The sequence below is a fragment of the Homo sapiens genome, chromosome 11 (genome assembly GCF_000001405.40).
Source record: "Homo sapiens chromosome 11, GRCh38.p14 Primary Assembly".
Taxonomy (NCBI): Eukaryota; Metazoa; Chordata; class Mammalia; order Primates; family Hominidae; genus Homo; species Homo sapiens.
Window position 1 is genome coordinate 94,743,204 of NC_000011.10, and position 23,201 is coordinate 94,766,404.

At 41.5% G+C, this 23,201-nt stretch overlaps 1 protein-coding gene across 4 annotated transcripts in view, besides 1 other annotated feature; it reads left to right on the forward strand.

Annotated features, from left to right (window-relative positions):
- The window catches only part of AMOTL1 (angiomotin like 1), a 170,289-nt gene that overhangs the window by 36,744 nt on the left and 110,344 nt on the right, over window positions 1-23,201 (forward strand). The gene's annotated exons all lie outside the window — the stretch shown is intronic.
- Window positions 7,640-7,934: a silencer, noted in NCBI's record as "tiled region #14517; HepG2 Repressive non-DNase unmatched - State 23:Low". NCBI's record gives its function as "represses a minimal TATA promoter and a strong SV40 promoter by Sharpr-MPRA in HepG2 cells {active_cell/tissue: HepG2}" and the evidence as "EXISTENCE:reporter gene assay evidence [ECO:0000049][PMID:27701403]".

Genomic DNA, 23,201 nt, shown 5'->3' on the forward strand with positions numbered 1-23,201 from the left:
AAAAGCGGGGGTTGTGCCCGGGGATCCCTAAGGCGTCTTCCAGTTCTATTTTCACCTCTTAAAGTGCTGTGAGGGGCTGTAAGCCAAAGGAGGCCTATAGCCATTGGGTATTCATTGTTTATATTCATGTGCTGTGCTGTTTGGGTACTTGGTGTCCCCAAGGGTTATTCTCTCCATGACAGGGCAGCTCTCTGGATCAGACTGCCTTGTTTTCATGCTATTCAGGTCAAAGACGGAGCTGTCATTTCTCCCTTGGAAAGAGTCATGGTGGTTTTTTGGTGCTTTTCTTAGACACACAGCAGGAAAAATGCCTTTTACAGCAGTTGATGAGCTTGTCAAGCAGCCATTCTTTCGGGAGCACAGATGAGCACAGGTTCACTCCTGGCCGGAATATAAGAAGAAGCAGAGCAAAGTTAAAAGAAAATTATTTCTCTACTCACAATACTTCTTTTTTTTTTTTTTTTTTTTTTTTTGTGACGGTGTCTCGCTCTGTCGCCCAGATGGGAGTGCAATGGCATGATCTCGGCTTACTGCAACCTCTGTCTCCTGGGTTCAACCTATTCTCCTGCCTCAGCCTCCCAACTAGCTGGGATTACAGGTGCCCGCCACCATGCCCAGCTAATTTTTGGAAATTTAGTAGAGACAGGGTTTTGCCATGTTAGCCAGGCTGGTCTCGAACTCCTGACCTCTGGTGATCTGCCCTCTTCTGTCGGCCTCCCAAAGTGCTAGGATTACAGGCGTGAGCCACTGTGCCTGGCCTGTACTCACAATACTTCTGACACCCAATGTGTGGGTTTTCCACACCAAGTAATTCTTAAATATTTTGCAGCCACCAACCAGATGTCCTAGAATTTAATTAAATTTTACCACTACCCAGAGTTAGCACAGGCCCTATAGGTTAAGAGCTCAGTCCTGCAAGACTATCTACCACTTCAGATATCAACGGCAAGTGGTGGGTCCACATATTACCCACACTTATGTCTAACTTGGCTACAAATCAGGGCTTCCTACAACCTTCTTTTGGTTTCTATAATTTACTTTAATAGCTTAGAGAACTCAGGGAAGCACTATGCTTATGTTTACCAGGTTATTTTAAAGGATATAAATGAACAGCTGGATGAGGAGATGCAAAAGGTGAAGTCTGGAAGGGTCCAAAGCACAGGAGCTTCTGTCCTTTTAGAGTTGGGGTGCACCACCCTCCTGGCACATGGATAGGTTCACTAAGTCAGAAACTCTCCATACCTCCTCATTTAGGGTTTTTATGGATGTTCCATTAGGCATGATTGATTGAATCATTGGCCATGGGTGATTAACTCAATCCCCAGTCCCTTTCCCCTCCCCAGAGGTCAGGTATGTGTGTGGCAGGGTGGAGGGGTAGTAGGTGGGGAAGTGGGGAGAATAGGTCGGTGGGCTGGAAATTCCAACTTTTTTTTTCCTCAATGTAATTTTTGTTAATGTATATCTGTAAGCACTATTTATTTCTGCACCTACAATGGTTCCTGGATTCTAAACAGTCATGGAGTTTAAATTTGTAACATTGGTTTAATAACAACTTTTCAGAGAGCAAAAGATGAAATTTTTCACTCCATGAAATATCCCATATTCTATGAGTCAGCACATGTAAAGCACACATAACAGAACCTGGTACAAAGTAAGTGCAAGATGAATGTTAGCTATTATATCTATGATATTAAAATGTGAAAAGATGACACCTTAGCATTGAAGAAATATGGTTTTTTAAATTTTTAAATCAATATTATAAAGTTACTTTTAGTGTTGATTTGTTGAAATTTATTATCTTTATCCCAGGGAATGCCTTCCTTGGCTCTTGATCTTTATTTTCCTTGACCTGCTAACAAACTTTTTTTTTTATACTTTAAGTTCTAGGGTACATGTGCACAACATGCAGGTTTGTTACATAGGTATACATGTACCATGTTGGTTTGCTGCACCCATTAACTCGTCATTTACATTATGACACAATGCTATCCCTCCCCCATCCCCCATACATTATGACATTATGACATAATGCTATCCCTCCCCCATCCCCCCACCCCACGACAGGACCCAGTGTGTGATGTTCCCCACTCTGTGTCCAAGTGTTCTAATTGAATTCCAACCTTTTAATAATATGGTTGGTTCTTCCCACAACCAGCCCCCAACCTGAAGCTAAGGACTTTCAGCCACCAGTTATCTCATTAGCATAAACTCAGGTATGGTTAAAAGGTATTTATTATGAATAAAAAAAAGATGCTCCTATCACCTCTATCACTCAGGAAATTTCAAGGGTTTTAGGAGCTCTGTGCTGAGAACCAGGGATGAAAACCAAATATATGTATATTTTTTATTATGTTGTGTCATCACAGAAGTCCTAAAAATTTAGTTTGAATTCTCTTGCAGTTTCTTGTGACCTTGGGCAGGTGATTAAGCTGCTTTAAGCCTCAGTTATTTAATCAACTCAACTGGGACCTTGCGTGGATATGGTAAATGGTGTATGTAAAGTCCATGTATTGAATGTGCTTGGAATTCAGGAAGTGCTTTTATTTTATTGTTTTATTATTATTATTCATTTAAAACATACTTATTTCCCAAGATTGAAGGATAAAATAGCTTTTACCAGTTATCCCACCTACTAATCAAGCGGTTTTTATTTCTGGAAGCTTCTCTACAACTTACCTAGTCTCCAAAAGGAGGTAGTCAGGAATGGTGATTAGGTCAGTGGAATTATTTAGTGATTCGTCCCTGGAGCCACATGTGGAATGGTTTTCCATCTGAGGTTTTGGTGATAGTTCCACTACTTTTTTGCCTCATGATTGATAGTCCATTCCACCTTTGAATTTTTATATCAGTCTGCAAATGAATAACTATTGGCTCCTTGGGGGATTGATTCTCAGTGTTGCAGCAAGATCATATAATAAAATTAAGTCACCAAAAAGGGGATTTTTTAAAAGGCAGTAGAGAAAGGGGTGTGTCTCTGGATGAATGCTGTATTGAAGTGTCATGATGGAGTGTCAAGAAATATGCTTTCTTTCTTGAGATGGTGGTACCATTTTCTGAGGAGGCAAAGCCCACACCTTTCCATAGCCTTTCGGTAGTTCCATGCATAGCTAGAAGTTACGGTCATCTGAGAGGGTTAGAAAGGATGTGTGGAGAGTTGGATGAACCCAGATGTGACCATGTCTGCCCTGTGAATAACCTTGACTGACTCTCCTCTACCTGGAGGATAGATATTTGGTTTGACATAGGAGGAACGCCATAACCTGCATCACTCATACCCACTATGACATTCTAGTTGTATGGAACTATGGGGCAATCCTCTACATTCAGCTTGGTTTCCTCCACCTGGATGCCCCTCTTCCCCCTTCTCCCTTTCTCCCCTGGCTTGCTCCTATCTAGCCTTCAACCCTAATCCCATGTGTCATGTCCTCCTGGTGGTTTTCCATTTTGGCTGCACATTAGAATCAGGAGGAGCTTTTATAAGTCCTGAGACCAGTTCCCAATCCTGAATGATTACATCCACATCTCTGGCATGTGGACCCAAGCATCAATGTTATTGTGTTTTTTTGTTTGTTTGCTTGGGTTTAATCACATCTCAAGTGATTTCAATGTGCAGCTAAGATTGTGAACAACTGCGCTACACTGTGGCCACCTTATTCTTCTTTGTAAATCTAGCAGCCAGCACAGTGCCCAGCACAAGTTAATCTTCAGTAAATATTTGTTGAATGACGGAGTGAGGGTGTGACCCGTGAGACACTTTATCTTTTCAGTTGTATATCTCTAAGACTGGCCTTTCTGCTTGTTGTAACAGTGCCTTGAGGACTGGATCCTTTCTTCTGTGACCTCTATCTCCTATGTTTATTCCTGGGGCTTATCCAGCTTATTTTTTATCTTTCTTAAAACTTGAAGTTTTGAAAGTCCAATTTTTAAACTTTAGTTTTTTAGTATAAAAGCAGTATGTGCTTATTTTAGAAAATCTGGACTTTAGAAAGAATAGGTGGGGGAGCTCACTCTCACCACCCACAAGCAAACTGGTTCCTTGTTTTCTTAACCTTTCATAATTTGTTGCCCTTTGGGGTTGCTTGACCCTCTGGCATGCCTCAAGGAGCTCAGTTGGTGCTGTCTCTGCTCAGACCTGGTGAACTGGCCTATGAGTGCCAGGAGAGGAGTGTGTCATGAGAATAGCATTCTTGGGAGCCACCAGGGCTAACTCCCCTGAGGGCCAATATGCAAGGAGAAAGTGTTTTCTTGTGCTATTCTGGCCTTCCTCATTCAGGCAGGATGTATGCTGGGTCTTATTAGGACAAATTATGACATTTGTATAACTTCTTTAAAATAATAACTTAAATATTTCCCAGTCTCCTCCTACCCCCTTGTCCTCCAAAAATATGGGATGAGATTGCAGCTCTGGATCACAGTGTTTATGCCTTAGTCAGGATAGGCTAAACCCCAGTGTCAGTGGCTTAACACAAGGAAGACTGCGTTTCGTGCTTGTGCAATGGTCAAATGTAGAGTTGTCAGAGGGCTGTGCTTCATGTGTCATTAAGGACCCTGGCTTCTTCCGTTTCCTGGCTTTACCATCTTCTAGGGGCTCAGATTCTTTCAGTGATGTTTGCATCCATTTGTCAGGTAAGTGAATCAGGTGAGCAAGAATGTTCACCCTTGATTGCCTCAGCCTGGAGGCAAAATACTCACTTCTCCTCATTTTCCAAGGGTAAGAACTAGTCTTACAGCCTCACCCAGATGGAATGGGGTGGGGTGGAAAAATGTAGTCTAGTTATATGCCAGGAAAAAGAGGAGAAGACACACATTGGTGATCACTAGCTGACTATACCAGTCGTATTTCTCTTATTGCTCAAACCATTATGACTGAGCCTCATTTGGGCCATGTGGGTGCTTGGTCTTGGTATTATTTAGGATATAGGTTGGGCTGCTATAACAAAGGCCAAAATGACAGTTACTTAAACAATATGTAAGTTTATTTCTTTTTAACTTAGAGCATGAACAGTCCAGTGCTGATCTGGTGGCTTCAGGGTGCACTATATCCTCAAAAGTAATTTCCATGCAGTGGTTCAAGGTGACTGTTTCAGCTTCTACTATCACATCCGCATTCTAGTCCATAGACGAGGGAGAAGGAAAGTGGTGGGCACAACCTGAAAGCTGCACACATCTAATGGTGTTCACTTATATTCCATTGGCCTGAACTTTAGTCACGTGGCTACCCGCAGTTCCAGGAAGACTGGGAAAACTGGGTGGGGATAGGATGGAGTCTATTATCAGAGAATAGCTGGGTAGGGTACAGGGAGAAAGAGATGCTGGATGACTAGCAATCTTCCTAACAAGTTATAGGAAGCACATCTTAGTGGTTAAGAGCATGGGTATCAAGCCATACTGAGTGATGAATTTTAGCTCCACCTCTTACTTGCTTTATGACCATAGACAAGTTACTTAATCTGTATCTTCTTTTCCTAAACTTTAAAATCATGTACTATTTTCTGATGCTTTTCCAGACCCACTTACCATCCTTTATCACTCTTCTCTGTGCTCTGAAACACTTACCTTTTGGAATGCATCACCTGGATTCCTGTTGTATTTGACCAATAAGAAGCACTGGCAGGATACAGGAGGGTGGTAAGAAAGAGAACTCAGTGTACCTACTTCCTTCCCATCAAGCTGTGGGACAATATGGCTGTGTGATTCTGCTGCACATAACTATAGAATGGCCTTCTCTTATAGCATCTTGTCTTGCTGGATTCTGATAACTTCCTCTTCCAGCTTATGGGTTGCATTAGGGTTCTCCAGAGAGACAGAACAAATAGGATATATATAGGTATAGTTGGATGAGAGGGAATTTATTAGGGGAATCTGCTCTTGTGATTATGGAGGGTGAGAAGTCCCGTGACAGGCTGTCTGCAAGCTGGGGAACCATGGAAGCCATGGTGAGCCTCAGTCCAAGTCTGAAATCCTCAGAACCATGGAACATGATGATGTAACTCTCAGCCCAAGGCCAAAGGCCTGAGAACCTGGGTAACCACTGGTGCGAGTACTGGAGTTCAAAACCCAAACAACCTGGAGTTCTGATGTCCAAGGGCAGAAGAAGAGCGTCCCAGCTCTTGAAGAGACAGCAAGGATTTGCCTTTCCTCAGCCCTTTTGGTTCCATCCAGGCCCCCGGCCAATTGGATGGTGCCTATCCACATTGAAGGCAGATCTTCCCCACTCAGTCTACCTACTCAAATGCCAGCCTCTTCTGGAAACACCCTCACAGACACACCCAGAAATAATGCATTGTCATCTCTCTAGGTATCCCTGAATTCAGTCATGTCGACACCTAAAACTAACCATCACAGGGATGGTAGCAGCTCCTCATAGTGACTAGCCCCAGGGTGCTTCATCATCATTTGCTGTTTTCCTTTAACCCTTTTGTAAATAGTTGCTTCATTAGACTGTCTTCAGTCACTCCTTTTGCACATACCATCTATTTCCTGATAGGACGCTGACTGATACAATGGGGATAATAATAGTACTGACCGCAGCCCATGGTGGTGAGGATTAAATGCATTATGTGAGAAATGCCTGATTGTAGTAACCACCATTAAATGTCTTTCTGTCTGATACCTCCAAGTATGGTCAAAGCTTTCTGAAAGATTTGGCATATAAGTTAAATAATACTGTCACTTATCTCCTCTTCCCTATCCTGTTTCAGAAGGATGGGTTGAGATTCAAGACTTTTGAACAAATCTGTTCTAAGACAAATGTAAAGTTTCCTCCCTCTCATTTTTATGGGGATGAAAAAGGAGACAGGAACCAGGCTAGATTCACCTACTGTGTCAGGCACTTTGTACTTTATACATATAACCATTGTACTCAGCTTATGGCTTGGGTCATGTTACCCACAGTGGTACCCCCAAATATAACAATTTCCAAGCATTTGCCTGCCCATCTTACTAAGAAATGGAGTCTTTTTAAAGGCCACCCTGCAGTTTTATGGTCCAGGAATCCTTAGGTGGTGCTTATTTGCATGCACAGAGTCAGTTCTGGCTGCTCTAGTGTCTTGTCAGGGGAGCTGGGATTCAGAAACACCATATTGAGACCCGTGAACACCGTGATAATTGCTCCATGCCCTCTCTTCTCCACTTGACACTGGCTGTTGCTGCTGCTGCCCCTACTCACACCAGAACTTGGAGGCTTGGCCTTTGCTTACTTGAGAGCCTGACTGGTTTCCCAGGGTCCTACTCTCTCCTGGCTGCAGGGATGAGAATGCTACTCTCCTGTGCACTCTCTGAGTGGGCCCAGGTCCTCCTGATTGCGACACAAGCCTACACCTGTCCTAGGTTTTGGGATTGGGTGGGCTACGTGTGCGTAGCCTTGAGCTGGCCTCCAACTGACAGGGGCGTCCCTATCCCCTGCCTTGCTCCCGTGATGTACCCTAGATCTCTCCACCCTTTAGAAGCCTATGTATCCTGCCATCCTCCTCCTCAAGCCCTGAACACAGCTTCTGAGAGCTAACTTTTTCTCAGGATGATTGACAGTGGAAAATTCAATTCCCTTCACAGGAAACCTCACCCTACCACGGGGGTGTGGTTTGGCCTCCTATTCCAACAAAACAATCACAAAATAGTTCAGCGTTGTTACACTTCCCCAAATCTGAGTAACTCAGTCTTTTCCATGATTAATCTTGTTGGGCACATTAGTTTATTTCATTCTCAGAACAACTTAGTGAAGCAGATGAAATTATTTTCATTTTCTAAAGGAGGAAACAGAGGCTCAGAGAGGTTAAAGGATCTGCCCAGAGTCGTTTGGCTAGAGGCAAAGATTAGATTCAACATCTAATCTCTGGCTCCAGAGCCAGTTTCGGTTTTCTAGGAAGGAGAATGTACAAGTTGGTCTCCTCCTAGGGAGACTGTATTGGGAATTGAATAAATATGTTAAAGTATCCAGCACAGGGACAGGCAGTACAATACATGGATATTCAGTACGTATTTCTTGAACAAAAGATGACTGGTAGGCACTCAAAACTATATATATATATTTTTTTTATTTTTTAGACCACCAAATAATGATCAATATTATCTGAATATTGATCTGAAACAACAACCATAAAAACTCCTCTTTGCTTCCTTCATTTATTTCCTGCCCTTTCTGCCCTTTCCATCCATTCATTCCTATGTATTGCAGCAGAGTCCCTGGGACACGAAATCTCCCCTGGTTTCCCAATAGTGCTGATACTATTTCTAAAAGAAACGAAACCTTTGCAGCAGCACAATTTGGGGCGAGGCGGTAGAAGCCTAAGGAGAATACAAAAGGACGATTCAGGGCAGGTGGACTCAAACTTGAATGTAAAATTGATCACCACTCCCCTAATATTGGTTTGCAAAGTGATATTACACATTGCTCAGGAAGTGAGTTTTATTTCAGGGTATTCTAGTTGGGAGAGAGAATGGAGTAGGAAGGGGGAAAATGACAATAAATTCTGAAGATAAATGGTTATCTGCTTTGGCTAAAAAAAAAAAAAAGATCAAGGAAAGAGATCTGGAGTAATGGGATAAAACATATATATGCTCACATGCATTCACACAGCACACACACACACACACACACACGTGCACACACGCACACACACACATAGGAAAATGGGAAGGGCATTTTCCCTGCCAAAAAGATGTTTCTACTAGAAATAAATGGAAGAGTGGCCATTCATTCCTGAAAATTAAACACAAGCGTGACTCCCCAGAAACGATATTTCATCAGTTGTTAAGCACTAAGGGAGTCTAAAGAGTGTATAAATTACTAGTGTGATTTGTTCAAGGATACTATGATTATGGTTTCTGGGGCACATTCTTGCCGGATGATCATTGTGGAATTTATCCTGTTTGTTTTTTATTACTCTCACACTCCTCAAATCAGTTTTGCCCAGTGTGGACACATTAAATTAATTTGATATTCATGGTTTGCTCTCTCTCTCCTGCTCACCCCCTCTCCTTTCCAGTTTCTCTCCTTTTCTCACTCTCTTCTTTCCCTCCTCCATTTCTGTCTCTGTTTTCCTAAGTCAGTTGCACCCTCCTCAGCCCCCACTCACCTCCTCTTGCTCCCTCCTCCTTTTTCCATCTTATATTGGAATATGGACAGAAAAGGCAGTGCTTGCCTTCCTAGGGCTCTCTGCCAGAAAATGGAATAGGTCAGATTATAAAAGGGGATAAAAAAAGAATGTTCCTTGGCAAAATGGGGAAAACATGTTCAGGGATGGTTTGCTGTCTCTTGCTGCCTGCTGCCTGCGGAAATACACTCCTTACAGGACCCCTGCTTATGAACATTTATCCCCATGGCACATATGTGTGGTTATGTTAATGTCAAATATGTATAAACATTTATTTCTGCTTAATTCTCTTCCCCCTGTGACCTTTGTACCCCCAAATCTAGAGTGGACAAGATTACTGATCACCTGATGGTAAGACTTATTAACCTTTTCTCAGGGATTTTTTAAAAGATTACTGGGAAGAGTGGACACTGAGACTGCTTTCAGGTTGCTGTCTAACAGTCAATAGCTTTTGGAAACTTTAGGTTCTTAAGAAAACACAGAAGGGACATGTGGGTACAAAACCTGGTCTGGAATGAATCCTGTGGAAAATACAGGGTTTGGGGCCGGTGGGGTGGGGTACAATAGTCTACTGCTGGGATCTGTAAACCTGCCAGGGCTCCTTTGTCTGTCTCCCAAGGGTTTGCTGTTTACTGTCTGTTGACCATGAATAAATGTCCATTATTGTTGCTCTTGTGGTTGGTCAGCCAGAGAGTTAGACTTTAGGCTCCTTTTATAAAAATATTTACCTGCTAGCTCTAAAAGTCATTTTCCCTCAAATTCAAACGGCAACTCCAGACTGAGTATTTGCTGTGAACTAAGGAGTGTGGCAGGCAGTTTTATGTCGCTGTCTGGCTGTGGTGGGGGTTAACTTCAGGTGAACACCGGCTACCTCCCCCTCCACTGGTTCCCCTCCCATCTTGTAGGCGGGTGATTAGGATCAAAAGAATTAGCACATTTAAATCATTTAGAATAGTGCCTGAAAATGACTAGCATCTAATAAATATTATTCTCATCCTACTGCTTTCCTGCTTTTTTTTTTTTTTTTTTTCCTGTCTTCCCCTCCTTGCCTTGTCACTCTCAAGTATGGCTTCTTACCCTGAAGTCCATTTTGTTTCTACTCTCTTAATTCATTTGCTGACATTGAAAAAAGATAGAAAAAGAAAATAAATTACAAATAGCTTTATTAAATGCATTATAATAAAAAGAGCTAATATTTATTGAGTGCTTTTCATGTGTTAGATTATAACATTATGTCAGTCATCTTAAAACAATCCTGTAAGACAGGTACTATTACTTCCCTCATCTTTCAGATGGAGAACTGAAGCTAAGACAAGTTAAATAACTTGCCAAATCATACCTGGTAAGTGGTAGGGCCAGGGCTTAAACCCAGCCCTGTTCTTCTCTATTGCTAGGATTCCTAACCACCATCTTCAGTTCCAGAGCAAGTCACTAGAACCCAAACTCCTGATTCTCAATAACAGATTCTTGGCAGAACCCTAATTTGTGACTAGGTATGTTTAACTACAAAACCTTAGCTTGACTCACTCACAATACTGCCTACAACTTGCCACACACTGCAAGCTAGGCTCAGGCATGTGAAGGTGAGTGAGACACAGTCCTTCCCTCAAAGAACTGGTAACTTAATTGGGAAGAAAGATCTATTAACAGGAACATTTACAACGTGGAGTTCTAGCTCCTTCAGGCCAGTGGGCACTGATGGGCTGCATGACCTTGGGCAAGTGATCTAACCCCTGTGGACTTCAGTTTCCTCATCTGTGATATGGGAAGGCAAATATCTACTTCATAGGGTTATTGGAAGGGGTTAAGTGAGATAATATATGTAGAGTGCCCAGCACATATTTGGCACTCTATGAGCAATTTCAATTATTGTTGTTATTATATGGTGACTGCAAGGGGGACATGGGACCCCAGAGAAGAGGAACCCGACTCAGTCATGGAGGTCAAGGAGAGGCCAGGCTGGCTTTCCAGATGAGATCCATCCATCACAGTGTGACCCGAACGGCATCATGTATGCCTCAGAACAGCTGGCGGCAGCCATTGTGAGCTCTTCCTCTGGGGTCCCTGTGACCAAATGCTGAATAATAAAGTGCAGAAGAATGAAGCTGAATCTTCTCTCCCATACAAACCCAGATTTAGCATGGGAACGCTCCGAAGTGGGACTGTAACCTTGTTATCTCCTTCCTCAAATGCTGTCCACACCCTCATGCCTCACAGTGTCTGTTTTGCTTACTCTTAAGAGGTCCTTAAATTTGGCTCAGTAGTATTCAGTGGGACAAAGCTGTTACACCATGCTCACTTGCATTTCACTCCTTTTTCCATCCTTATCAGTATTGCTTTTTACTACTATCAGCTTCTTATAGCTGACATTCCACACTGTTTACCAAATGAGAGACTAAGGGCTCCACTAAAGGAATTTTAGGGATATAACCTAGTGTAGGTAGGTTGGTATTTGCCAGACTTAGGAAATAAAACACAGGAGACCCAGTCAAATTTGAATTTCAGATAAACAGTGAATATTTTTTTTAGTATAAGTATGTCCACTACAATATTTTGGACACATAATACTAAAATATTTTGTTGTTTATCTTCAGATAAACAGATAATTTGAATTCAGATCCAACTGGTGTTTCATCTGGCAGCCCTAGGTGTGGGAGCAACATCTGGGGATGCTCTGCTCTTTGCATTGGATTTTGGCTTGCTCTTAGTAGGTGTGATAAATGGTGACTCAGTTCCATGTCACCAGGTATTCAGTTGCCACTTGACTCCATTTAGGTGCTTACATCGATGAGACTTGATTGCTGCTATGCATATTATTTTATCACCTCAGTTAGAAAATGGATGCTTGAAATTAACCCTTCCTACAGTAGAAATCCTGAACAACTTCAGGGATTTGATGCGTGCTTCACTGTGCTCAATATATAAACACAGAAGACTGCCTACTCCTGGACTGGTTATATGGCTTCTGGGGTCTGAATGTTAAGGTTTTGATTTTCTTCCATTCTTTCTTTTAGCAGAAGCTCATGTCTGATCGACTCCATTTTGGAGAGTCAGAGCATCTTAGTGTCCTCATAGGAGGGAATACCCAATGCCGTCCTCCTTAATGCACCATCACTCAGCCTCTGCTAGAACATCTTCTGAGCAGGTGTTGTATGAGTGGGGGAGGAGCTCCTGCTTCCTGAGAAAACCTGGTCTATTGTTACACAGTGATCATTATTATAACGATTTCTTTATAGAGAGCTGAAACCTGACTTACTGTTTCTTACACACAGTTGTCCATGTTTTGCCTTCTAGAGCTTTCCAACATTTATTTTACTGAAATGGGAGGAGTTCCCATATCCCCGTCACAGGGCCTGCGACAGGGGCGTGGCTCGCTTCTTCAGTGCCTCGCTGCTCAAACTCCTAGAGGCCGCATGCAGACAGGCAGGTTGTGGGGAGCGTTTTTGGGCTCCAAGCCCACGGCAGCATCTAGGGTTGACTGTTTACAGCTCCCGAAGCCCCAGTGGGTGTGTGTTACAGTGTGCTCTTTCAGTTTTGCTGTCTGCAGGCCGCTTGTGTTCATCAGCTCAGTTAGACCCTCTGCCTTATCCCAAGGACAGAGGGCTTTCTGTATCCTGAGTTCTTGCCCTATTGTACCAGAAAAATTGGATCACACGTGGGCTTGGAGGATGGGTGCAAGGTTTTATTGAGTGGTGGAGGTAGCTCTGAATGAGGTGGACGGGAAACCAGAAAGGGGATGGAGTTGGAATGTGACCTTCCGCTGGAGTCAGGCTGCTCAGCAGCCAGACTCTCCTCTGACTGCCCCCAACCAAATTCCGCTGTCGATGGCCTGCAGTGTTGGATGGTGTCTGGTGGTGTGCTCTTCTGCTCCTCTCAACGTCCAGCCGCTTGTGTCTGTGCCCGCTAGGGTCTCGGGTTTTTATGGGCACAGGATGGGGGGCGTGGCAGGCCAAAAGCAGCTTTTTGGGTGCAAAAACAGAAATGCCTGTCCTCATTTAGGTTTGTGGGCACAGGCCCGAGGATGGAGCCCTTGCCAGGGACCCCGCCCTTCTCTACCCAGCACTTCCCTGCCCTCCTCCTGTATCATTATTATGACCCAACATAAGGATATATTTTATGTTTAGACCCACAAACACAAATACAAATATAAATATAATTAAACAGAATTTCATGGAATAGCTATTACTCTTATTCGGCTGCATCTGGTATTTCCTATTATATTCTATTTCATTTATTTAAAATGCGGGTCAGGACCCCGTTAAACTGATTTCATGACCCACAATTGGGTGACCAACTACTGTTTGAAAAACATTATTGCTATATAGTGTTACAGAGCAAATACAGAATAAGTCTATTCCTCATTTCTTTCTAAAAGATTTTGAAATATTTGAAGGTTGTCATTATTATTATGTCTTAATCTTCTCTTTTCTACACTAGATATGGCCGAGTTTCCCCATCCACTCCCATCCTGCTCAACACCTTCTGAGTGCTTTCTAGCTGAGAAACATTTCACTTAAAATTTGGCACTGAGACATGAGCACATCACCTCACATATAACTTGGCCAATACGTGGCATTGTGGGACCATTAGACCTCTTGATTTCAACTCCCCTGCCTGAGTTTATATCAATCAGTTAATTAATATTCATTTGGGTATAGTTATAATTACTAATTTACCTAAAATACCTAACCTAGCCCATTTTTTTTTTTCTGTTTTGTCTATTTTGGTATCTTGAAATATTTTTCCTATTTGTTGGGGTGGGGGGATGGGGAGCTCAAATCAAGATGATAATTATTCATGTTTCCTGGATCTGCCCAAAACTCAGGAAATATAAACAAAAAGAAACTATGTGTCTAGCACAGTCTAGCACAGCAATAATTAAAACTCCACGAAAATGACCATATTTGGTAAGAAAATGGCTAACAGGTTAATAATAGTTAATATTTCTAGAACACCTGCTGCAAGTTAAGCACTGGACTAAGAGCTTTACATGTAATTTACTCATGAATTTCTCACAGTCCTGTGAGGTGGATACTATTGTAACCACCGCTTATGAAATGAGGAAAAACGGCTTTACAGAAGTTAAGTCGTTCAGCCAATATCATAGGACTACTAAGTGGCAGAGGAGGGGTGATTCCAGGCCCATCTGGCTGCTAAGTCTGTGTTTTAAAATCTGTAACTGCTTCCCACAGAGAGGAAACCACCTCTGGTGGTTTAAAAAGAGAGAGTGCCTGTAACATGCTGAGAATAATGCTTACATGGAGGCTTAATAAATAGATCTTACTGTCTCCTATAAGAAAAGGGAACAGCTTAGTAGCAAATTCAGGCCACTAAGAGTCCCCAGGAGTCTGTGAAAACTGTCTAGATTCATCACTAACCACAATGGGGCAGGCCTCAGAGTGCTTTCCAGTCGGGAAGTAAGGTCTGGAGTCAAGAAACATCTTTCTTGTACCCATGAGATGGGAGGCAACATAAAATAGTAGTTAAGAGCAAGAGCTTCTCACACCTGTAATCCCAGCACTTTGGTAGGCTGAGGCAGATGGATCACCTGAGGTCAGGAGTTCAAGACCAGCCTGACCAACATGGTGAAACCCCGTCTCTACCAAAAATACAAAAATTAGCTGAGCATGGTGGCGCATGCCTGCAATCCCAGCTACTTGGAAGGATAAGACAGGAGAATAACTTGAACCAGGGAGGCAGAAGTTGCAGTGAGCCAAGACTGTGCCATTGCACTCCAGCCTGGGCAATAGAGTGAGACTCCATCTCAAAAAAACAAAAAAGGCAAGAGTTCTGCAAAAACAGACTTGAATCTTGGCTCTGTTAATTTCATTTAATTAATTTCAAATTAATTTCAGGGTTTTTTGAGGCTTTTGACACAGTTATTAGCTAAAAAATCAAATGTTCAAAGATATGGAGCAGTGCCTAATGTCTGGAGAGCAGCACTACCATTTATTATTTCATTTATAGTTGGGAAAGTTTTTGATGGTACTAACAGATCAAAGTGGTGGCAGGAGGTTTTGGAACGGCTGGTTTAAATGGCTTCAGGAGACTTCAGTGTTTTGTTTAGCTACATGATTGAATGCGTAATAAATGCTTTGTGCTTTTGACTATCAATGCCTAGAGAAAGTGCATCAGTGAAGAGATGCAGGACGTTCAACTGATTGGCAAAAAGCAAGCTTTAGCTTGTCTTACAGGATGCTTAGTTTGCCAGTACACTTCAGACCAATGGGATAGTCATAGATGGCGTGACAGTGTTTAAAGGCAACAAAAGGCTACATCTCCATGTGGCCAGCACTGTCATGAGCCTCACTAAGCTATTTTGAAGATTTTTAAGCAATGATAAATTAAAAAGAAATTATACCCCACCTAAAGTAGTACATAAAGTATAGCAGGATTTCCGTATACTCTGCAATCAGTTCTTTGAAAGAAAAGTCAAAAAGTAGAGAATACAAGAAATTTTTGGGATATAATTTGAATGACTGTGAAAACATGACCTTTGATACTGAACTCATTTGCTCACTCCTTAACTTGACAGCAAAGCCCAGTATGTACAACTGTGTTGACTGTGGGTGGTCTCCAAGGCCACGCTGCTCTCTGAATTGATTTTGAGTTTTGTTTGTAAGATGATCACAGTCATGTTACACTGACCTGAAGGGCATATATATACATAACACTTTAAAAAAAACACTCTGCCTCATTCTTATTTCAAGATGAATTTCTATACGGATTAGATATGTTTTTTTCTGAAGATCATATCAATTAGACATTTTGAAAATGACTTAAAATGTTTTCCTTAATGTTCTCAGAAAACAAGTTTCTTTTGTAGTTTTAACCAAAAAAGTGCCCTTTTTGTCACTGGATTCACCTAGCATTCATAATTTTTTTTTCATACAATGAATTAAAATTTGCTAAAATCATGGACTGGCTTTCTGGTTGGATTTCAGGTGAGATGTGTTTAAGGCCAGAGCTTTTCTCAATATTTGATTTTTTTCCTCAATATTTGATTTTTTAAAAATATACACATAGGTGCTGCATTTATATCTGCTGGTTTAAATTCTGTCATATTTCACTTCTAGACTTTTAGTATGGCAAATCATATTTTACTTTTACTTAAGCATTTGTAGTTTGGAGTATCTGGTACTAGCTAAGAAATAATTCTATAGTTGAGTTTTCTGCTCACCATATATGGATCATTCCTCATCTATAATGTGCCCCAAATGCAGCTTCATTTTCCAGATACCTTGACGCAGAGTGAAGTTTTTCATCTTTTAGGTGCAAAAAAAAAAAAAAAAAGGGCAAGAGCTCTGCAAAAACCAGACTTGAATCTTGAATCTTGGCTCTGTCACTTATTAGCCATGTGATCTCAGGTAATTCACAGGACCTCGCCTAGCCTCCAGTCCACATGGGTAACACATGGGTAATAATATCTGCCATACTGATGGAATGAGATAATGAATGAAATCATCTGGTTCAGAGGAGACACTCCATATGTGCCAGTTCAACATAGAAAACTGGATTATGATCTTTCTTCTTGTACAATATCATGTGCCTGTTTCCTTATTTAGGTTGAAATTCTGAATGCATAGAAATATAGGCCCTCAAATATCCTAAACCAGTGGTTCTCAAAGTGTGGTCCATGGACAAGCAGCATCAGCACAATCAGATAATTTGTTGCCAATGCAAATTCTTGGGCCCCATCCAGGCCTACCAAATCAGAAACTCTGGAGCGGGGCCCTGCAATCTGTGTTTTAGCAAGCCCTTCAGGTGATACTGATACAGCTAAAGTTTAAGAACTACTGCCCTAATGGCACTGAAGATTCTGAGTCTTCTCCTGTTTTCAACAGGACTCAGTTAAAGCTCTAAAGAGGCTGCATCTTTTGGGTAGATATTGTAATCAAATACATAGACTGTGGAGTTTACTTTCAGGTTGTTTCCATTTAATCTTTTTATTGTTGTTTATCCCAAACTGGCCATTTTCTGATTTCTCTTTCTCTCCTCTATTTAATTTGAAACCCCTATTGTATATACCTTACATCACATAGGTTGAATAGAAAGGGGCCATTCCCAGACACCCAGGTAAAGGAGACAAGTAACATTCCTAAAGAGCTTTCCTGGGCCATCCCTGCATCCTCAGCACAGGGTACCTGCAGGGACTATACTTCCTTTGCCTCCTTTAAGTTCCTGGAACTTTCTGAGAATTTTTCTGCCACAAGATCTTTGCACATGATATTGGCTTGGCCTGGAATGCTCTTCCTGCCTCCTTTATGTGGCCAAACCTTCCTGTCTTTTAGGTCTTTACTTACATATCTCCTTGGAGAAGGCTTCCCCTTTCATCCTCTCTAAATGACCACTTTCTCCCTAATTGTTAACCCCTCTGTTATTGCAGTCCTAGTCTGCTCCTTTTTTTCATTGCACATAGGCTAGTTTGTAATTGTAGACTTCTTTATATGTTTTAGTAAGACAAAGCCCATACCAGGGTATTTGAGCATCTAGCAGAGTATGTGGATTATCAATGTAATCAATAATTTTTTTTGATGGTTTTGGGGGAACAGGGTGTCATTCTGTCATCCAGGCTGGAGTGCAATGGTGCCATCCTAGCTCACTGTAACCTCAAACTCCACCACACCTGGTCAATTTTTTATTTTTATTTTTATTTTTTGTAGGGACAGGGTCTGACTGTGTTGCTCAGGCTGGTCTTGAACTCCTGGTGTCAAGCGATCTTCCCGTCTTGGCCTCCCAAAGTGCTGGGATTACAGGAATAAGTCAATGTGCTCGGCCAATATTTCTGAATGAATGAATGAACCATTATAGTTCTCACATACTTTGCCTTCTTTCAAACTTTATTGTCCTTTCAGTTAATCCTCTGTTTAGGACTTAATTTTTTTCTTTTTTCTTTTCTTTTTTTTTTTTTTAGACAGAGTCTTGCTCTGTTACCCAGGCTGGAGTGCAGTGGCGTGATCTCGGCTCACTGCAACCTCCGCCTCCCAGGTTTAAGTGATTTTCCTGCCTCCGTCTCCTGAGTAGCTTGGATTACAGGCACCTGCCACCATGCCTGGCTAATTTTTGTATTTTTAGTAGAGACAGGGTTTCACCATGTTGGCCAGGCTGGTCTCCAACTCATGACCTCAAGTGATCCGCACCCCCTGGCCTCCCAAAGTGCTGGGATTACAGGCATGAGCGACTGCGCCTGGCCCAGGACTTTATTTTTTCTAGTTATTTCTAATTTTTTTCTAGTTATTTTTAATTATTCCTCTCTCTCTCCCAATCCATACTTTGGACTTTTCTGAAGACTTGTACCTAGCATGATACTGGCTCTATGGCTGAGATGCAATAAATGCTTTCTGATTTCTTGATCAATAACTTATAGAACATTTAAGACATGAATTTTAACTTCTTCCCTCACTTTGAGTTTATGCTGTAAAACAAATTTTTCTCCTGAATGGAACCATCTAGAGTGTCTGGAGCCATTAGGAATGGTGAGAATTTCCCCACTTCTCTGTCTTTCCTTGGCTTTTAAAAAGGTGTAAGACCTGTTGGTCTGTAGTGCATATTCTGGAGAGAGAAGAACTAAAATTGCTGAACAGGTTGTGGAGGGGTCATTTCTCTCACTGTTCTTTCTATGAACTGAAAATATATGTTTTCAGTATAAACATCCAATAATTACTTTCAAAATGGGGATTACAAGGGTTCTTTAGGGTGAACATTCTGAACTTCAGCTATTGTGAAACTCCTTATTTTTAATAGTGGCTTTATGTTGTTTTAGAAACTCAGTATGATTCCAGTTTTAGAAACAAAAATGTGTCTATATCATCACTGGAAATCAGAGAGGAAAACATGATTAGTTTTTTTGCTCATGAAAAGAGGAAAGGGAAGCAATCATAATAGAATGATATATTATAGGGTGGATGGAACTGAAGCTGCTATTAGTATGCAATTAGATTCACCCAGTATCTCAATGGAATGATCAATATGATTAGAAGCTTGGGAGCTTCTTTTAAAGTGGGTAACATCAATTAATCAACTAACTCAGTGGTTCTCAATCAGAGGCAATTTTGCCCCCTAGGGGACATTTGGCAATGTCTGGAGACAGTTTTTGTTTTCATAAATGAAGGTAGAGGGGGTGGTTGCCACTGGCATCTAGTGGGTAGAGGCCATCCCTACAATGCACTGGGCAGTCTCTCACAACAAAGAATCATCAGCCCCAAATGTCAGAGGGCCAGGGTTGAGAAACCCTGCAATAACATCAGCCAAAAAAGTATTATGAGTTTTCAGTACTCCCAAGGTTTCCGTAGTAGTAGTAGCAAATAATGTTTAGAATAACTGTCATGTATCGAATATCTACTCCATGTCGGAATCTTTATATTTACAGCTGGTCTGTCTCAGTCCGGGTCTGACACCAGTTTGTTTGGGGCCAACGTCTCTACTCTTCTTCCTTACCCCATTTGGTACAGGTGCATTTTCTCTGGACATCAGCATATCTATCCTCAGTTTCTTGTGTTTATATAGATAAAATTATGTGTTTAGTGCATATTAGGTAATATGCTTACAGGAGAAAGCAGTCAAGCCAGAAGAGACTGGTGTGTCACTATGGGTGTGAAACGAAAAACATCCCGACAAACAGGCCTCAGATCTATAACTTAACGATCCCGCCAAACTACCTATGTAGCATGGTAGCACAGAGCCTGGTCCTCAGTAGGTACTTAATAAATATTTGTTGGGAAACTTTTTTCATAATCCACACAGAGTCCTTGATAAGCTTCAAATGGAGCAGGGTGTTCAAATGATCTCTTCTGTTGCATAACATTTTATTTGTTCCAGGAGCAGTTTCTTCATCCACAGGCACCTGATATTTCCAGAACTACACAAGTGTCGTACCTTGTGTATCTTCCCACTTGCCCTCCACATTGTCCTCCTTTTTGTTTTTCATTCTTTCACTCTGAGACCATCTGGTCCTGACAAAGGCTCATCCCCTTGCCCTTTCCTCTCCTTACGACAATGTACACTCAGTACTCTCTGCTTTAGACACTGCCAGTATTCCCTGAATTATGCTCCTGCCAACAGTTTGCAGGGCAGGGCATGTGTCAGAATCTTCAGAGGAGGCATGTGCTGTGTGAAAAAGCTTATTTGAGAATATTATTTTATATTTAGAAAAAGGCAGGAAAAAACACACTAGAGTTGACCCTTGAACAATGCAGGAGTCACGGGCGCTGACCCCCTCACACAGTTGAAAATCCAAATATAACTTCTGACTCCCCAAAAACTTAACTGCTAATAGCCTACTGTTGACTGGAAGCCTTACCGATAATATAAACAGTTGATTAACACATATTTCATATGTTATATGTATTAATACTGTATTCTTACAATAAATAATAAGCTATAGAAAAGAAAATGTTATTAAGAAAATCACAAGGCAGAGATGATCATCATAAAAGTCTTCATCCTTGTCATCTTCACATTGAGTAGGCTGAGGAGGAGGAAGAAGGGGGTGGGTTGGGCTTGCTGGTTCAGGGTGGCAGAGGTGGAGGAAGATCTGTGTGTAAGTTGACCTGCACTGTTCAAACCTGTGTTGTGCAAGGGTCTGCTGTATTGCCATTGTAAAACAGAGAACTGAAAGAAAAGGTTGGAAAAAAACTTCTCACCTGGTGATTATATAGGGGTTTATTAACTCTGGGGTTGATGTGACCATTTGATGTTTATAAAAAGAAGAAATTAAAAGAAAAGGTGTTTAGAAGCATGGCAGCGTATGCTTTCCTTCCTTGTGTCCATGCCTTTGCTCGAAATATCCTCCTCTCAGCACCTGGATTTCTTGGAACTTGCCCGTTTTTTTCCTGTGCATCATTCCTCTATGCTCCCATAATGCTTTGTGTCTAATCTCTAGTGTGTTCACCATCATTTTTTATCTTTAGCATACTACACTCTGATGTAGTAAATACTTCTGAAAGTGAATTGCAGGAGCACTGACTAACCCCAGTGAGCCAGCTGGAAACCTCAATGTGCTAGGAGTCATTTCGAGTGGATTCTAGGACTGCACCTTTAGAGATTCAGAAATTTGGAGGTGGAACATGAGGAGTTTAAATTTTTACATGCTTTGGTTTCATAAGTTACACTTCAGAAAGTGCTTGAAATTGAACTTAAAAAATATCCTTACTTGTTCTAGGAGCAAAACAAGCATTTTGATCAAAGCAGCCTGGGTGCATCAAATCATTGGTTTGTTCATTCAACAGTCATTAATGGAGAACTACCAGTTGTAGCGATGGTCCCAGGTGAGGCTGTGTGTAGTAGCTGTTCCTTACGTAGTCATGTTCATCCACTCTTCTTTTGCTGTTTGGCTTCTCTGTCTTTGCAAGCCCAAGCCCATTCTTAGGGCCCATTCAGTGAAAGTATTAGCTGGTAAAGACTTTAAATGTTTGTCAAGAAGGGGTGCTGAGAAAAGTGAGAGGAGAAAGACATTTGCATTTTAATAGAGTATTTAAATTCCTTGGTATTTCAAATTACTGGAGAAGAGGAGGGTTTCTAACTTTTACTGAATTCCTAGATGTGCCCAGCACTTGACCTGTATTATCTCATTTAACCCTTGCAATAAGTTTATGAGGCAAATGTTATTATTTTATAGAGGAGGAAGCTGAGGCTCTCCGTGTCTAGAAATAGATAGAACATGGACTAGAAGCAGGTCTTACTGTAAAGGCCCTGCTCATTCTCCTCTATCCAGATGCCTCTGTTACTTCAACATTCTTCCCGCCTCTATGCTTGTTGGGAACAGCTTGGTATCACTGGAACATCCTGGTACTCGTCCTGTTTTGAGTGAAAGACTGCTCTCTGGGCTGCCCCAAAGAGCACTAAAATTGGCCCATCATCTTCTTAGCTTTCTTAGGAATGAGTAAATGACAACTTGGGTCACTTTAGAAAGGATGCTGACCTTTAGGATGAGTGCATAGATCTAAAGAAGGCACAGATGTGGACTGGTTCACTACCTTGCTGTTAGTGAAGGTGTGTTCAATTTTTATTGTAAACATACTTTGTTTCCATTAGACACAAACCAGACATCAGAATCTCCAGCCAAGTGTGCTTACTGAAAGATGTTATTGATAACTTCTTGCTAGTGAAATTCAGAGTCTTTTTTTGCAGGCCTTAGTTCCTGAACAATAGATTCAGGAACTAAGTTAAGGCCTGAAAAGATTGTTTTCTGCATTTGATGTAGAGCTTATTCACAGATAAGGAAATTAAGGCACAGGAGGGAAACATTGGTCTCCAGCAGTGTTTTCTGCCTGTGCTTCCATGTATCTGATTACTGGGTATTAATTTGAGGAGTCTAGGCTAGGTCCACCTGATTGAATCAGAAGATCCTTGAACCCACAAGCTGTGCCTAGCACTTCATTGCAGGTCTAAGAATCTGTAGCATTTGATAGAAGGACCCACTTCTTAAAACTTCCTCTGGCTTCCATGCCTTTACCTTTTCCCAGCTCTTCTACTTCTCCAGATTCTTCCTCTTCTCCCTCCTTCTTTCCCTGTTTTCCAGTTGTGGACATTCTGTTAATGAACTGATCTTCAAAGCTTCATCTCTCCTTTTCTCTACACCTCTGTCCTCCACTTCTCACCCAGTCCCTTGTTCCTTGTTTCCTCTTGCCCAGAGGATAGTAAGTCACTCAGCATCTTTCTCAAACCGTTTCCTCTTCTCAACTGTGCTTCATCTGTCATTGGTCTAATGATCCATTCTTCTAAGACTGCAAGATCTATTCTTCCTATGACTGGGCTCAAAGCCTAGGTTAACTTGATTACTTTGTCCTTTTCCCCAGGATAAACAACGAGTCAATGAGAAGAATAAAATCTTGCTTCAAAGATTTGATACCTTTCTTTATGACATCTGGTATCTCCAAAGATATGGTATCTCTCATTTCCTTTTTATCACCTCTGTCAACCTCACCTATCATTGCTTCCTGCAACTATCCTAGATAGTCTCTTGAAATAATAATAGCAAATGTATATTGAATACTACATGCATTGTGCTGAGTATTTTACATTTGTTATTTTATTCAGTCTTCACAACCACTCTGTGAGATGCTATTTTCTTCATCTTGCCAAAAAGGATACTGAGGTTTAGAGAAGTTA